Source organism: Homo sapiens, chromosome 4, assembly GCF_000001405.40.
Source record: "Homo sapiens chromosome 4, GRCh38.p14 Primary Assembly".
Taxonomy (NCBI): Eukaryota; Metazoa; Chordata; class Mammalia; order Primates; family Hominidae; genus Homo; species Homo sapiens.
In genome coordinates this window covers 23915790-23933932 of record NC_000004.12, presented here as the reverse complement: position 1 = coordinate 23933932, position 18143 = coordinate 23915790, and the positions used below count along the sequence as shown (strand labels likewise).

The 18143-nt window shown below is 40.3% G+C and overlaps 1 protein-coding gene across 15 annotated transcripts in view, besides 2 other annotated features; it reads left to right on the top strand.

Moving 5' to 3' along the window:
• Positions 1-18143, top strand: part of PPARGC1A (PPARG coactivator 1 alpha) — a 680885-nt gene that overhangs the window by 538973 nt on the left and 123769 nt on the right. The gene's annotated exons all lie outside the window — the stretch shown is intronic.
• Positions 939-1779: an enhancer, noted in NCBI's record as "OCT4-NANOG hESC enhancer chr4:23933777-23934617 (GRCh37/hg19 assembly coordinates)". NCBI's record gives its function as "activates a minimal SCP1, AML or CMV promoter by ChIP-STARR-seq in naive H9 embryonic stem cells {active_cell/tissue: H9 hESC(naive)}" and the evidence as "EXISTENCE:reporter gene assay evidence [ECO:0000049][PMID:30033119]".
• Positions 1864-3495: an enhancer, noted in NCBI's record as "VISTA enhancer hs2346". NCBI's record gives its function as "enhancer in: eye[8/11] | facial mesenchyme[5/11]" and the evidence as "EXISTENCE:transgenic organism evidence [ECO:0001131][PMID:17130149]".

Below are 18143 nucleotides of genomic sequence, written 5' to 3'. Positions count from 1 at the left end.
TGGGAGACACACAGGACACATTACACCTTTTCCTGAAGTCATGGTGCCTGTGGGCCTCATATTTACATAACCAAAGACCGAGTTGCTTTGCCCACTTGGGCGGATGAGTGGCTGGCAGCTGCTGATACCCTGTGGCATATGAATGATTAGGTGATGTATGTGAAAGTGCCTTCCAAAGAACTCTATATAAAAGAAGGCATTATGATTATTAATAAGTGGGCAGGGATGATTTATACACATGGCACAGGCAAGGCTAGCTCTCATAAACTTCAGGTGATAGCCAGAAAGCTGTCTAAAATAAAATGCTTTCTAGCCTCTCAGAGTTTGCTGGGCCAGTAGGCTATTTTCCTTAATATTAAATCATGTTTCCTTTCTTCTTTCCATTCTCCAGTTCCTCTGTCACCCATTTCCACATGAGTTTCTCTTGCTTCAGGCTCACAATCCTCCTACTGGTATGAGGTGAGGTTGAGAGTTGGTCCAACAAATCAACTATTTGTGTGGTGGGGAAGAGAAAGTTGCAAACACTTACTCCTGGAAGCAAAGTGAAAATAATAGTATAACTTACCAGGCATCAGATATATTTGCTTACTTTATCTCATTTATTCTCCAAAACAAACTGAGGACTTTTCTTTCTACATAGGAGAAAAATTCAATGAAGGTGGTGAGCTTTAGGGAGAGGCCCATTCCACACAGCTCTTGAATAACAAAGGAAAGAGGTAGACTTCATTCTTTGTGGTTGTTTTCTGTTCCAGCACTCCGCCTGGCTTCTGGAAAGGGAATGGCCCCTACTTAAAAAAAAATTCACAGAGCTTTCAGACGTTTTGGCACCAGAAGAATTGGGAAGAAGCTCCAGGCATTGGCTGGCCCGAATTCCTTCCTATTTCACTTCACTTTCCCTTTAGGGTTTTCTGATTTTTATACCACTAGAGTCACCACTTGTCGGGAAAACTCTGCCCAACTGGACAACACAAGTGTTCTTTCTTCTCCTTGAAGCACCTGTCTAATGTTAACAGCTTAGAACGGCGAGACTGATTCCTGGACCCCATGTGTTGGTGGCCTTCTCCTCTTCTGAGCAAATTGCTATGGAATTTTGTCAGAGAAATCTTAGAATATGCAGTACCCTGAGGAATCAGACTTGAGTACATGAACAGGAAAATCTTGCTTTCCTCCTTCCAACTGGAATTCTTCCCTCTTAAGTTCTCCATGAAATTCTGCCTCCTAAGATTTATCTCCAATAAGATGTCTTTCTACTAAATACAGTTTTTTATTTCTCATTTTTCAAAAAAAAAATTCGTTAAGCTACCATTTCTTGTATTTTATTTTTTTAAAAAAACACTACTTCGTTTTTTCCATTTTCCCTAAAGTAAACAATAATTTTTCTCTGCTGACATTTGTTGCTTTTAGTTTAGTTGCTAATGTTTCTCTATTTATATTTAATTTTGGTAATGCCTTTCCTAAAAGAGCACAGTAGGGGCACTCCTGAGCTTTGACCCCTTTTATGCTACTTATTAGCTGTGTGATCTGGGAAAAGCCACTGGAGACGTCTGCACTTCGATCTATAGAATGGAAGGATAGCATTAGCTCCCTGGAGGCAGGAGGAGGATGGACTAGATAGTTCCCAGCCAAGCGAGGAACTAAGCGAGGAACTAATTAGTCCCACTAAGAGCATTCTCTTGTTCTCTGTCTTCTCATGTATTTGGGTCCTTTTAGACTCTTCCAATCTTTATTGATCAGTACCTTTGGTTTTTAGTTATCTCTTCTCTATACATTTGTCTGATTATTACTTTTACTTGTACATCTTGCTATTTCCGTTTGTTGAATTAATGAATGGATTTGCCTTCTTTCTATTTTTAGCTACTATGACCACCACCACTATGGCAACTCCTGTTACAAATTACTGTATAACTACCATGTGCCTGATTATTTGCCAAGTGTAAAGCATTAACAGTAACTCCTTTTAACAACCCTGACAATGGGGTATCATTATCCCCATTTTGTACATGAGAAACTGAGGCTCCGCAAGGTGAGATAATTTGCCTGAGGTCACACCATGGTAAGTGCTGGAGTCAGACTTTGGATCTGGGTATCTCTGACTCCAAAGATCGTCATAACTTCCATGGCTTCCCATGAGCTACTGATTATTGAGCACCTACCACTTGTTAGCCACTTAGCATATATCACCTCTTTTTATCCCCATGGCAGTCTTGTAACTTAGGTATTATTTTTCCATTTTACTGCCGAGGATAATAAAGCTTAGAGAGAGGTGTTAGGTAAGTATGCCAGAGGCACACTGCCAATAAATGTTCTCAAATCCAATGTCAGATGACATTGGATTCTTGCTTCCTTTCTGGTCTCTGCTTTGTGAATGAATCAGTGAGTGAATGGGTCACCTTCCTTTCTTCCTCTTTTTCACTATTCTTTCTTTATTCTCCTTTAAAAAATATGTGCCTTAACTTTTTAAATTAAAAATCTAAAGTATGCTGGAAGTAAAAAAAAAAGTCAGGGCGGGGATACAGAAAAGCACAAATAAAATAGAGCTAGTCTACAGTAACCTTCTACCCAGAGGTAATAACTTTCCTTCCTTTTTTTTTCCTCCTTCCTTCCTGCCCTTGCCTTTGTGTCCTCTTAGCCAAGAGTCACATTCCTTCTCTACCTCTTCCAGCACAAACTCCCTTTGGGGGTCCGAGTTTCCCTGCTGTGGTTCTTGGCATAACGCGTGACACACACATTTGCAAAACTAATCAACTGTGGAGGGGACAGGGAGTCCCAGCACAAGCTCAGAAAGGCAGCGGCCACCACAGCAGCCAATTCCTTTCCCTGTCCCCAGAGGTGGGGTGAGCAGGTGACTCCCTGTCACTGATCCCCAGCTGCCCCTCACTAGACTGTGAAGCAACAGAGGCCCTAGCAACGGAAAATGCCACCGGACACTCCACGCGGCGGCATGTGCCAGGCTGCCTCTGGGAGCCTTGTGTTCTAAGCCAAAGTTCAGCTGAAGGGCAGTAGCCAAGCCAGAAAGTCATGTGGCTCCCATGTTGGTTAGTGTGTCACTTTGAACAGCTCTTATCTGATATTATTATGACTAACTCAGTGCTGACAGCATGGGACAGATTATAGGGGACATGTGACAATTATTTAAGGCATCACTGAGTGCACTGTGCAGCTTATATTAACCCCTTCTTTCCAGGATCACTTTCCTGCATGTGTTTGTCCCTTTGAGAGTCTGGGTAGGAAAAAAGAAACAAAAAAGTACATTGAACCCTGAAGGGTGCTACTGGTTTCCATTTGAACAGCCTCTGGCAACAATTTATTTTTGTCCCCATAGCTTGAATGATATATGCTCTTTTGGCCTAAAAAGAAAGAAATCAATGATAAGGTTGTTCATATTTCAAAACCTTTTTTTATACCTTGTAACTGATAAAATTCATACCTTTGTCATCATTGTTGTTGTTAAGGTTGATCTTTAAGATATTAGAGAACCGTGTTGAAGTGCTAGCTGGAGAAATAGTCCTTCAGCGTTGTACCTAAATGTCAGTGGTCAGAAGGCGTTACTCCCCACAATATGATTGACATCTTGGATGGTGCAAAGCAAACATAAGAAATGCTATAATTTATTATTTATTTTCTGCCCTTGAGTATATATGTAATGGTACAATGTGAGGGCTGTTACACCAAAAATCAAGTTCAGAGTCACTCATGGTGGAGAGGGATTTTGTCCTGCTTGAAGCCATGGGTAGTAATATAAATATTCTTTCTGTGTGAATGAAAAGGAATTTCAAACCTGATTTGGGGACTTAAAGGTAAATGAAACAGAATATCTAGGTAAAAATTCAGATGATATCATTTAAAGATGTCAAGGATGCTAAAATATACATATATTTAACGTGGCACCCTGGAGTGGGGTGACAAAAAACAGAGTCTGCAAATCTATAGGAGAGGTTGAATATCAGCCATGTTTTGAGGATTTCCTTGGTGAGTTTATGGTCTGTTAACACTCAGCTGTAAAATGGAATGATAATACCCTCCTCATAGGGTTGTTAAAAAGATGTAATGAGAAGAGCCTCATAAAGGCTTAGCCTAGGGCGCAATGAATGCTAAATAAAAGGTGGCAGGTATTATTCTAGTTATTATTCTTGTTATTGTTATTTGTAGGCAAATCCTCTGCAGCAGAAGGCAGCAAAGTTTGAACACAGACTTGAAGTGTTAACACCTCCAGGATGATTTCAATCTTGGGGCCACTTCAACCTTCTCCCACTGAGGGTAAAGCCATTGCCAATCTTTCTTCCCCACTCTCCATAATGGGTGCCGCACTTTTTCCTCTCAGTAAAGTGCCTGCCATGGTTTCTGTCATTAACATTCAACAGTGTTCACACTTTGCTACTGCAGAGGGACTTGAACCACTTCCAGCAAAGTGTGAGTGGGAGAGCCTCGGGAGGCAGCACTAGCCTTACTCCTTTTATTTTTCCAAGCAATTCACCTCTGGCTCCAAACTTGCATGTGCTGTTCAACCACATAAAAGGTCTGTGGCTAACTGGCATCCTAAGATGGTGGTTGATGGAACATCTATTATGATGTGAGCACATCCTCAGGGGTTTTATTTTTCCACCTCTAGTAACTCACACAAGTTTTCCTTCTACCACATATAGCATGCTCTGTCTCATTTTGTCTATAGCAATACTTTAGCGTCCTTTATAGACTGGTGTTCTATGTACCTCCCTGGGTTGACCTAACATTTAATCCAGTTTGGGTGAGTTACTTTTATTTATTTATTTATTCATTATTATTTTATTTTGATTTTGATTTTTAAATTCCAGGGTACATGTGCAGGATGTGTAGGTTTGTTACATAGGTAAACGTGTGCCATGGTGGTTTGCTGCACCTATCAACCCATCACCTAGGTAATAAGCCCAGCATGCATTAGCAATTTTTCCTAATGCTCTCCCTCCCCCAACCGCATCCCCTGACAGGCCCCAGTGTGTGTTGTTCCCCTCCCTGTGTCCATGTGTTCTCATTGTTCAGCTCCCTTATAAACAAGAACAAGCAGTGTTTGGTTTTCTGTTCCTGCATTAGTTTGCTGAGGATAATGGCTTCCAAATCCTTCCAGCTCCATCCATGTCCCCTACAAAAGATATGATCTTGGGTTTTTTTTTTTGTTGTTTTTTTTTGTTTTTTTTGTTTTTTTGTGGCTGGATAAGTACCACATTTCCTTTATCCAGTCTATCATTGATGGGCATTTGGGTTCATGCCACGTGTTTGCTATTGTTAATAGTGCTGCAATGAACATATGTGTTCATGCATCTTTGTAATAGAATGATTTATATTCCTTTAGGCATATACTCAGTAATGGGATTGCTGGGTCAAATGGTAGTTCTGGTTCTAGATCTTTGAGGAATCCCCACCCTGTCTTCCACAATGGTGGAACTAATTTACATTCCCACCAACAGTATAAAAGCATTCCTATTTCTCCACAACTTCACCAGCATCTGTTATTCCCTGACTTTTTAATAACAATCACTACTCTGACTGGCGTGAGATGGTATCTCATTGTGGCTTTGATTTGCATTTTATTCATAGCAATTCTTGTTGAGTATTTATTTTGTGCCAGGTACCCTTTTTGGGCCTGGAGATACAAGAGAAATAGAGCCTAGAAGCCTAGGATATAATTTCGCTGCCTCCATTTTCCCACCAGAAATTGTGGATTTTCCCTCTAAGGAAATTCTACTTAGTGGCAGCTGCATCCAAGAACAATAACCTTGAACGAACGAAGCACCAGACTCTGAAAATAGTCCAGACACTTTTTCCTGACATCTTTATTTTGATGCATCAGACCGGGGTTGATATTCGGCTGGGATGCACCATCATGGCAGTACCAGTTGTAAAAATATTAAAATACTAGCTGCTGCCCAGGCCCTCCAAGTGCCCAGACTCTGTCAGTGTGGCTCCTGCTTTTGGAACTCCTCAACTGCTTCACGATCTAGTAACCAAAAGATTAATGCTTGACACAGCAGGGTCCTAGGATGCATTCTGATTGGTTAAAGTCCATTTCCATACTGGCTCTTAAGCCTGCAAGGATTTTTGAGTCATAATACAATTCTGTTCCATGATGTAGGAATCAATAACAGAAACTGAATTTTGATTGTGGACAGTGTAGTACAATTGAGGAGCCTTGGCTGGATCAAGATTCCATCCCTTCTGATGTGGGTAAACTTGGCTGAGTTATTCTCAATGCCTTAGTTTGTGTAGATGGTAAGAATAGGAATGCCTAGACAGCAGGCTGCCTGGGGCTACTGCAAGGAAAAATTAAGTCAGACATACAAAGCACCTAGAACAGTGTTTCAAGATAACAGGTGCTCAGGAGGGATTACTTATTATTATTCTTATTAGAAAATTTTGTAAAACTCAAGCTTAAATTTGACTGATTTCAAGAAAGGTGAAACAGATCCAATTACCCTCTCTCCTAACTGCAAAATTAAACAAAACAAAAACAAGAAAAAACCATAAACCTTTTCTTGATGGATGTGAAGAAATAAATATATAGGAGGCTTTTATTTTACTGGCATAATAACATATATCTTTAAAATATCTACATGTAGGATATGCAGACAGTCCTGGACATATAATAATTTAACTTTTGATTTTTTGACTTTATGATGGTGTAAAAGTGGTATACATTCAGTAGAAACCATACTTCAAGTACAGAGTACTCATAGAACCAATCTGTTTTTCACTTTCAGTACAGTATTCAATAAATTACATTTTATTATAAAATAGGCTTTGCATTAGATAATTTTGCCCAACTGTAGGCTAATGTAAGTGTTCTGAACACATTTACGGTAGGCTAGACTAAGCTAGGTTGTAGGTTAGATGTATTAAATGCATTTTTGACTTAGATATTTATGACTTACAATGGATTTATTGGACATAACCCCATTGTCAGTCAAGGCACATCTGTATGTGTAAATGTGTTTTTGTTAGATAGATCATGTATTCAGTAATTATTGTTATGTGCATGGAAGATATATATGAATAACAGAGAGCCACTGCTGTCAATGAGCTCATTGTCTGTGGGGGAAACAGATGCATAAACTAGCGATTATAATGTGCTGGGTGCAGTAGTAGATGAGTACACCAGGCTCTGGAGGAGCCATGAGCAGAAGGACTTAACATGGCCTCAAGCAGGCAGTGAGACTCCCTGGAAGAACTGACAACTGAGCTGATTCTTAAAGAATGAAGAGAGTTAGATAAGGAAAAAGGATTTGGGAAATGATTTCAGGTAGAGCTGGAGCAAAAGCATGATAAAAGGGCATTCTCTTGGAAGTAGGAAGCAGGGAGGGATAAGAGGTCAGACTGGAGGCAGGGCAGGGGCCAGCTCAGAGAAGACCTTCCTGCCATGTTCAAGCGCTTTCTCTAGGTCAATGTTGAGGGGCTGAAATGATAGACACTAAGGTAGGATGTAGCCAGAGTCAAGTTTTAGAAAGATCGCTGGCTTGAACTAGGACATTCATCATGGAATGGAAAGGAAGGAAGAGACTTAAGAATGATTAAGATTGAAGGGGATGAGTGTATTTTTGGTTTGGGTGGATTGGGTTACTTCTTTTCAACAGATGCAAAGAACACAGGCAGGCAAGCAGCTGAGGTTGGGAGGATGTTAAGGCCCATTTTGTATATTTTGAGTGTTCTGGTCCTGCAAGATGTTGGTGGTGAGTACCCAGCTGTCTCTGAGACTCTGGGGACAATCTGGGCTGGAGACATAGATTCTGTCATGGTGGCAGTTAAAGCCATGAGAGGCAATGAGATGAGCCAAGGAAGACTGAGAAGAATAAGCAAAGTGGGCTGAAAACAGAATTATAGGCAACACCAGCAGTCAAAGGATGAAACACTGAGAAGCAGCATTCAGAGAGTCAGGCAAACCAGGAAAATGCATCACGACTAAAACCACATTTAAGAGGGTCGGGTAGAAATACGGTCTTAGGAGCCCAACTAACACCAATCTCTTACCACACTTCTTTGGTAACATTATAAGTTTGAAATTTTATGGGAACTGCCTTGACTAGAAGTTTCTTCCTTATTTAAAAAAATTTTTTTCTCTCTCTCTCTCTTTCTAGTATTAAGTTTCACTGCAAGTAACTATCTAGTGCTAAACTGATTTTTTCCCCTTTTGTCTGTAGACTAAAACGAAAGTATACAGTTGGACATGAAAAATGATTCTGCTATACCTCCTCACATCTTACCCCTTCCAATGAAAACTAGACTCATAAAACCTTTCCTGTGAGTCCTGGCCTGAGCTTAGGTCAATTCTTCTTTTTAACTGAATCCATTCCATTTTCTCTCATCATCCTCAAAATACGTCTCCTTCACTGCTTTTCACATCCTTTTATGAAATGTTTGTCCTCAATCTCTTTTATTTTGAGCGGCACTTATAAACTAGAGTCTAGCACAGAGCAGATGTATTCATTTAATAGTTTGCTTTGATGGCTCCTTTAAGAGGCTTTATAATCTTTATATTTTACCATTGGGTTTGGAATTTTATGCTCCTTTAACAGGTGTATTACCTTCATCAGATGTTTTCATTTTAAGCTGTTGACTTATAAACACATGGCCTGCGGGGATTGGTGTGCAGACAATTTATCCACTTACAGATTTATTCACCTATTCATTTTTGTATTTAGAGCAGGGAACCCTAGATTGATTGATAATGACAGCTCATTGGTAAAAATGACTCTTTCAATGACCAAAGTAATTGTTTCCTCCAGTCGACAATGGGTCAGTAAAAGATCACTCAAATTGAGAAGATTTTTAGAAAAGTTAATTAAAAACAAAATGCTTTCAGACCCATATTTTGTTCTCTAAGTTTGCATTTTAGAAGAAAATTGTGCTTACACGTTTCTTCTGAGGACACTTGAAGGTTTGTCTCCTAAACGCTTTAATTGTTACAGTAGTTCATACTTTTCAAAAGATAATGTGTGTTGCTTGAAGCTGACATATTCTGATCTTATGCACCATGAATCCATCACTCTTCTATAAAAGAAAGGAAAGTGGGGGTAGGAATCCACCTTTCTCCTGTTTGGTGTATGAAGGGGGACAGAGCAGGAGAGAAATAAAAACTGTGCAGGACCAGTGAGCTATGCCAGGAAATCACATCCTGGCACACTTTGGTGATGCAGGTGAGGGGAGGAATTCAATAAGCAACTGTGAGGAAGTTGGTCATGTCTAGGCATGGTGCTGTATGGAGGTTTGTGTATGCAGAAAGTAAACTCTGAGATCCTTCTGCCTGGACACCTGTCTAAGAAAAGAAATGGAATGAAAGTTTTTTCGAGATGGAGTCTCGCTCTGTCACCCAGGCTGGAGTGCGGTGGTGTGATCTCGGCTTACTGCAACCTCTGCCTCCTGGGTTCAAGTGATTCTCCTGCCTCAGCCTCCTAAGTAGCTGGGACTACAGGCACCACCATGCCCAGCTAATTTTTGTATTTTTAGTAGAGATGGGGTTTCACCCTGTTAGCCAGGATGGTCTCGATCTCTTGACCTCATGATCCACCCGCCTCGGCCTCCCGAAGTGCTAGGATTACAGACACGAGGCACCACGCCTGGCCTAGACACTTGAACATCTACTGTGAACACTAATTGTTCCGTTCCTTCAAGGAGTGCTGACAGTCCCCCCAAAAAAGGGAGTGAGGAATCTCATAGGAAGGATAAGGCAAAGCATTTGTTTTCATAGAGAGGGTTGCCAAGAAGTTGAAGACTGGCCCATTTGGAGTCCTAGTTGATTTTCAGCAACATGCAATGAATTTGATGGCCAAGCCAATCTCCTGTGACTAGTTATTTTCATCACAGTACCACTGTAAGTGATTCAGCATGGCCTGGTATCATTTCTACCTGTGCCCAGGAGAGGCCAGGGCTGAGCCAGCATGGAAATGGAATTGCCCCTGCCTCCTGGGCTCTGAAAAGGCATCTCTCCATAGGAAAGAGTGAGCATGCAGCCCAGCCCAGAAGAAATGTCATGATTTCTCCTTGTACTCTGGAGTGTAGTCCTCTCAAGGAAAATGACATAGCTTCCACTAGAGCAAAAAGAATGAGAATATAAAGAAGGTATTGAGGGTGGAGGGAGAACTAAGGGAAAGGAAGTTGGAAAATGATTTCAAAAGTTAACTTTTGGGGAAATATTTTATCTCAAGAAAAAGAATGAGTTTGCCCTCTTCCTTTTCCATCTGAGGAGGTCAAGTTAAAATTTTGTTTCAGTACAATTGCAGCATTTTTGGAATCTATTTCTAAATATATGCATATCAGGGTACATTCCCTTCCTTTGTATTCTGACAGCTCTTTGATGTTACTTCTTTTTTAGCAATCATTTCATTCTTTCTTTCTTTTTTCTTTTTTTGCATTTTTTGTTGACTGAGTAGTTTCTCCACAGACTTGTGAATTCCTTGTAAGGACCACCCATATCTTATTCATTGTTTTTTTGGTCTACTAGCATGCTGTCACTGGACAGTAATATTTCTCATATTAGGCACTCAATTGTTGAATGAATGAATAGGTGAATAAATAAATCAGTGATTGAGCACGTGAACAGGTTGTGAAAGGAACAAATAATGGAATTGGATTGTTTTCAAGTGGGTGAGTCAAGCATACAACCACGTTTCTGTTACCTCTGCTGACCTGCATATAATGTAAGGCCCTCAACACAGTTCCATACCTGTCTGTCCACCTATTAAATGCCTTCAGTAATACTTTCCTCACACTCAAAACCATGGCAAGACTCAGTTGTTAGAGGTAAGGAGCCCTAATATCGTTTCACCAAAAATAAAAAAAAAAAAAAAAAAAACAAGCAACAAAACCCAGTGTACTAAAGGCTCTATTGTTTTTAGAAAAAAACAACCTGGGGTTGTACAGCATCAGAGGAGTTAAAGGCAGCCAACAAAATGAAAACAAAAGCTCCTGGGGAAAAGTCAAGAACTAGAAAATGCAATAGTTAGCTGATAAAATGTCTGCTTCAGTTTCGGCCAACTTCCTTGAACCTTGCCCCATTGCAGTGGCCCCCAGTTGAAATGGCAAAGAGGTGTCAGTGATAAATCACCTTGCCATGAAACAGCACAAACTTTAGTAAATTGCGTGTGGAAGCCAGAGTGGGTACAATAGTGGTGTAGCCCGGGTGAGCCAGCAGGCCTCCAGTGGCGCGGAATATTTATCCCTCCTTAGCCACGGGATGCCTTCTGTTCATTCATAGATGGAAAATGAGTTGGGCGTTTTCATTGAAGCATTCCATTGTCTCTGTCAGGAGTAAACCAAACAAACACACAGAAAGCTAAGATGCCAGCAGAAACCTCCGCCTCAGACCCAGAAAGTTAAAGCCTTACCCCATACTACTGAAATAAAGCACTGCTCTTACTCTTTTTGTTTCTTACATTATGAAACCAAAGGAAAGTGAACTAACTGAACTAATAAAACCAACTCTCTTAAAACATGATGGAGTTCATCTTAGCTATTGTGTGAATGCATCTATTCCACTGCCATTTCTGGGGGAAAGAAAGGAGGAGAAACGCTTCGATGGTTATAGAAATTCAGACCACACATAGATGTGTACCTGCATATTTTGGCAAGAAAGTGAAGTTGTCTTGGAGATGTTCCTTCCTTGATGTGATGGGATGTTGAGGACTCCTGGTCTTCTGTTGGATACCAAAGCTAAGCAATAGACTTTGCCCCAGCTGGAATCAATTTCTCTTTGAGTGCCAAGCACCCAGTCCATTAGAGGTCTGTGTCTAACATGCCTAACATTTCTGCCTAGCACTCTCTGGAAGGATCTTAGGTGTTTGTGTAGCATTTCCCCTTTAAGACTGCAAATTCCATAAGGTCAAAATCCATCTCTGATTATCTGGGCATTTTTTCTCTGCTCTGCTAACCTTCAAGCATGCATAATATTTTATGAACATTGTGCATATTCAGTAAATGTTTGTGGAATGAATGAACGAATGAATGAATGAATGGTATTATTCTCTGTCCCTGGGTAATAAGCAAGGCTTGACCATGTAGAACGTGCTCTCCGACACTTGTAGTACCACACCATAATTTTGGGGCCAAGAAGAGGTATTCCGTTTAGGTGAATGCCATGTTTCCTTTTAAACCACAGAATCATTATTATTTTAACTTTTAGGATTGAGCCTTCATTTGAAAACTGAGTCCAAATAATTTCCAACTCCCAACTAATCCACGAAGTATGCACCAGTAAAACCACACTTGCTTTCAGTAGGCTCCATGTACCTTTTCCAATACATTCCAGGAGAGCCACACACAAAGTGCGCTTGTCTCGTTAACCCCTCCCCTCCCACCTGCCTGTGGGGTGTGAGCATTTTCAGACAGTTCTATTGTCGCCAGTGAAATGTCAAACAAAATGGTGTTCAGTGTGCCTGGGGGCTTTACATGATGAGCTGCCTGGCACCCTGATGTCTGCTGTGTAGTGCATTTTTAACGTAAGGGCAGCCAAACCGAATCCCATGCCTGGCTCAGGCCGAGAACTGGAGACGCTGGAAGAAACATAGTTTTAAATTACAAGGTGTTTCACCCACATGCATTTCTCTTTGTGGTAGACTTTCTCCGGAGTTGAAGAATCCCTTCACATTCAATTCAATTCTTTTATACTCCCTGTCCCCTGACGCACACACACACACACGCATGCACTTGGTTATCCGAGGACAAGAGTTGAGTTGTTTACTGTTTTCCCAGGGTACAAAGTCTTAAAGAGTTTAATTGTGAATGTAATCTGAAGAATCAAAGTCAGCCCCATTCCTCAGAAGAACGGGGTGAGTGTGGGAGAAAGGAATTGTTCGCTTTGCACTGTGCTCAAAGTGGTGTAGCCCACTCCTTTCCCTTTGAGAAAGGTGGTAGGAGTGGGTGGGGGGTGGCACGGGAGACTCAATTGTCCCTTTTATGGAAGAACCCCCAGTCCTCTGGGTTGTGTCCTCTAGCCTCCTTGCTGTTTACTGGACGGGCAAGCCCAGGCTGGGTCCTGCGGCTGGTATATCCTCAGCAGAGATGGGAGTTCTGGCTGGAACAGGCTCCCCGTGGCTGAACTGGTTTGAAGAATGGGAGGAACCTCCCTGCTACTTCCAAATAGGAACCTGAGTCTGTCCTGGCTTCAGTCATTTCAGTAGCAGGGCAAGCGCTGACACTGTAGGAGATGGAAGATAATGTAAAATAATTCTAGCAAAACACTGTATAATTTCCCCTTTTCTGAGTTTAGGGGAGGGTGAGGATTATAGAGCTGGGAGGAAGAAAGTTGAAGTGGAGAGAAGAAAAGACAGGGTTTCTCATAGTCAACTTTAGAATTTCAGGGAAAATGAAGCTTTGAACTGTACAACTATTATGCCTGAATTAAATCACCCAGGGGTAAAAGGCATTTGCTGGCCCTGTCATGGCTACTGCTTCCTTCAATCCATCACCAAGCTGCTGGCCACATAGAGTTTTCTGCAGTCTAGTAGTTAGTTCAGTGGTAATGGATGACAAATTGAAATTTTGACCACAGTATAAACAAACTACCATTATAAGGACTAATATAGATATTAACCTTGGATTCATTTTTTTAAAAATTAGATAGATCAAGTTGTAGCAGCCAGAGGCTCTTTTCAGGGAAAAGACCTGGTAGTTTATGGAGCTAGTTCATCACCTGCCATGGCAGAATACAGTCCCACCGGTAGAAGCTTCCCTGTACTTGATCTTAACCCATACTGTTATATTTATGATGTTCCTTTGAACATTTTATGTTTTATCTTTTTAAAATCAATAGATAGTTTCTGACAGCTTGTGATGGGATTTCTTTATGCATACCTCTCTTCTTGCTGAGTTAAAAATCACTGTCTCTAAGATTATTTCATTTACATTTGCTCCTACGTGGACCTCAAGGGTCAAACAGAACAAGTCAGATCTTTTGGATCTTTGCTTTTTTCATAGCCTCTCACTCGACACTGGTGATTCTTGCTTCCCTTGTCCCATTATCTTGTTGAATATGCTGGCTTCTGTTATATCCTCTTAGCGGATCTTTTATTAGCAAGAACCTTACTGCACTGGCTTGATTCTTCCGATTTGATCCAAGTTTCAGGCACTCTTTCTTTGTCCTCTACCTGCTCTCTATCTGTATGTTCTGCTAAGCTACTTTATCTGTGCATGAAAAAGGGAGAACATTCTGTCAATAACAATATTTTATCTAGGGCTCCTGACCAATTAGTGTAAGGGCCATCACTCAAATCCTATTTTCTATTAGTAAGAGGATGGACTTTTTTTAAGGGCTGAAGCAAGAGGAGAGAATCACCATTCATTTATTGGGAACTTAGAAGAGAGAGTAAGCAAAATCTGAGCTGCCTCTTAAAGGGATTCACAATTCACTTCTTTTTTTTTTTTTTTAAGAACTACTCATTTTATTAGATGAAAAGAGATATTTCAAACTCCAAAGTCCTCCTTGAGGCATAATACCTTCTAAGATGTGTAAAATCATAGGATGGTAGGTTAATCTGGGACTTGGAGACTTTGTGTTGCCATCTCTATATTTTAGAGATGGGGAAACTGAGGCCCAATGTATTTTAATACATTGATCCAAAGTTGTGCATGTGGTAAGTATGTGAAGCCGAATTTTTAGGGGTTTGAGACTAATTTTTTTTCTAATGCAATTGACCACAGTAGAAACAAACTACCATTTATAAGGACTAGTATAAACATTATCCTAAATGTATCTGTTGAGCACTTTTGATATAGCTAGGAGTATGCTTGGTGCTATACAAGTTAAAACAATGTGTATGTAAAGTTGCTGCCCTCAGGAGTTTTACATTATTTTTTTCAAAAATAGGACCTATCCAATTGATGAAATTAGAGAAGGGTGAGGCTTGATTTATAATCAAGTGCTAGAAGGTGCAGTATGGATAGGAGAAGCACTCAATGTTAACCATGTTGGGTCATGGTTTATAAAATAGATGGGTCCTAAAATAAGTCACAGAGAACCAGCAGAATAAACAGAGAGACTAGTAGAGGACAGAGAAGCAGGGTTTGCATGAAATGTATAGGATAGGAATTGCAAATCCTTGACACAGAGGCCGCTTGCTCCTATCTTTATTCATGTTAGACATTTCTGCTTAATTGCAGTACTTTTCCAGAGCCCTGGAATGATCAAATCATTATTACTTTTTATTATTTTTTAAACAATTTCTGATAGTCAGCATGAAATAGTTAGAATAGACAGGGGACCATGAAATCTACTGACTAGCCTCCATGTTGGGTAAAAAGATCTTCCTGACCAGAGCAATGGGTTTATATTTTAATGTTAGAAGATAAAAATATGCAAGCCCTAACTTTGGTAGCCATAAGTAATATTTGTCATGATGTCTCATTAAGAGACCCAAAATGTTTATGTATAATCGATTTTGAATTTAAATTATTTTTGACTGGGTGCTGTGGCTCACACCTGTATTCCCAGCAATTTGAGAGGCCGAGGTGACCTCACTTGAGGTCAGGCATTCAAGACCAGCTTGGCAAACATGGTGAAACCCCGTCTCTACTAAAAATGCAAAAATTAGCTGGGCATGACGGCTGGCACCTATAATTCCAGCTACTCAGGGGGCTAAGGCAGGAGAATTGCTTGAACCTGGGGGCTGAGGTTGTAGTGAACAGAGATCATGCCACTGCACTCCAGACTGAGCAATAGAAGGAGACTCCATCCCCCCAAAAAAAAGAAAAAAAAAAGAATTTAAATTATTTTTGTTGTGTCGGACCTCCCCAAATCTAGCACTTATTGCAGTGCCTGGTAGTTATTGGGCATGCAGTAAATATTTTTTAAGTGAATGAAACTCACAGAGGGGCTAATTGTAGCCTTGAACAGGTGAAAGGCCAGAGTTTTATAAGCTAAATCCATCCAGCTCATGCCGGCACTGGAGCCATAGCATAGATATCCACAATGTATCTCAATGGACCTACTACATCCTTCTGTAAAATTGGTATCAGCAGGGCCTTCTGTTTCCTGCCATGCACATTTGCTCTAAGTCACAACATTAATTAATAGATAAAATTTATTGTTACAAAAAGAGTGGCGATATTGATTTGCTTGTTTTCATGCATTTGGATATCTTACCAAACCCCATCCTACCAGAAATAATATGGCAGGTTTAATTTTCAAAGAATACATTGGCACTACTAATTTTAGTTATCAATCAATGAGATTGTAAAATACATAAGATCGGGGCTTCACTCATTATTTCAACTGCTCACCCACAAATAAACAACATTGATTAAGTACCTACCCTTATGTGGTCTTTTATCAGGAAAAGATGAAAACACAGAAAAGCCGGGCGTGGTGGCTCACGCCTGTAATCCCAGCACTTTGGGAAGCCGAGGCAGGCAGATCACGAGGTCAGGAGATCAAGACCATCCTGGCTAACACGGTGAAACCCCGTCTCTACTAAAAATACAAAAAATTAGCCGGGCGTGGTGGCGGGCGCCTGTAGTCCCAGCTACTCGGGAAGCTGAGGCAGGAGAATGGCACAGCCTGGGCCACAGAGCAGGACTCTGTCTCAAAAAAAAAAAAAAAAGAAAGAAAGAAAACACAGAAAAGAGTATGATGTGGTTCCTAATAGCAAGGAGCTGAGAATCTAGGAGGGCAGTGGTGTAATATAACTGTGAAATCTGCCACTTACAGCATGTACACATTTCATGGTAGCAACTCAGTAAGTACCCATTTTATTCTTTGTATCTTCAACATGGGTTTAGCTAATACATTTCGTCTCTACTGCCTGTTCCAATTGCTTCATAATGACTACTTGGAGTTCATTGTCAAAAATTCTGAGGCCATGGGTAGGTTCTGGGGAAAAGGGCAGCAGTCAGTGAGTGATGTCAATCTACAGGCAGAGGAGGGTGAGGTAGCATGTGCGGGGAACAAGAACACAGTCGTTGTACTGAGAAACAGGCTCTTGGGAATAGTCCACAACACCTTCCCCTAGTTCTGACTCAGTAGTTCATTTGTGTTTTTGCGTGTGTTCAGTTGTGGAATCCATAAATGTCATGTTTTAAAAATGTTCATGTTAATACAATTAGATCGAAGCACCACTTCCAGCCGGTTAAAGAAATAGTGAGAGAAGACCTTCACAAGTTTAATGATAATGTCTGGATATTTATTTTTTAAATGGTGGTGATGATAACTAACATTTGTATATTACTTTGTAGTTTACAAAGCACTTTCACAAATTGGAAACAACTTAACTGTCTGTGAATGGAGTATTGCCTAAATAAATCAAGGCACTTTCATACAATGGAATAGTAGGCAGCTATTATGTAGAATGATATAGATCTTTATTTACTCACGTGAGATATGAGATGAAACACCCATGATATGTTTTTTTTAAAAAAGCAGGTTTCAGAGCAGTATATCGTGTGCATCTAGCTCTTTAAAAATTATGTTTTCATAAACACACACATGCACATATAAATCTGCATGTGATTATGGCAGAGAAAGAAATCTGGAAATTTATACAGGAAAATGCTAATGGTGGTTCTCATTGTTTGCTAGGATGTAGGGGATTTTACTTTCTCCTTTCTATCTTTCTGCATTTTCTGAAAGCCTTATGATGAATATATTCTTCCATGAAAATAAAAAGCAATAGTCATTTATTTAAAACACCTAAGCACATTATCACATATTAAGATTAATTGATCCTTACATCTATGCCAAAGGTAGTTATTATCCATGTTTTACGAATGAAGGGTAAGTTCAAATTAACTGCCAGTACGTTGTTTTACTTGTGCCAGGCAATGTAATTTACTTATTGCCTTATATAGTTGATTTACTTACATAAACTCATTTAATTCCCACAGTAATTCTTTGAAGTATTATCCACATTTTATAGATGAAATAACTGAGGCACAGAGAGGCTAAATAAATTGTTGGAGGTCACACAGCTTATAAACCTATAAATGGCAGAGCCAGGATTTAAAGCCAAGCCACTTGGCTCCAGAGCCCAGATGCTTCACAGTTATGCCATGCTGCCTGATAGAAGGCACAGGGAGGGGGTGGTGGCCTTAGGAGCTGAACTTAGATCTTCTGCTCCAAATACTTTTCCCTTGTCACTACACATTTGCATGTGCCTTTTATTTTATGCTGGTCATGAATTGTCAGGCTATTG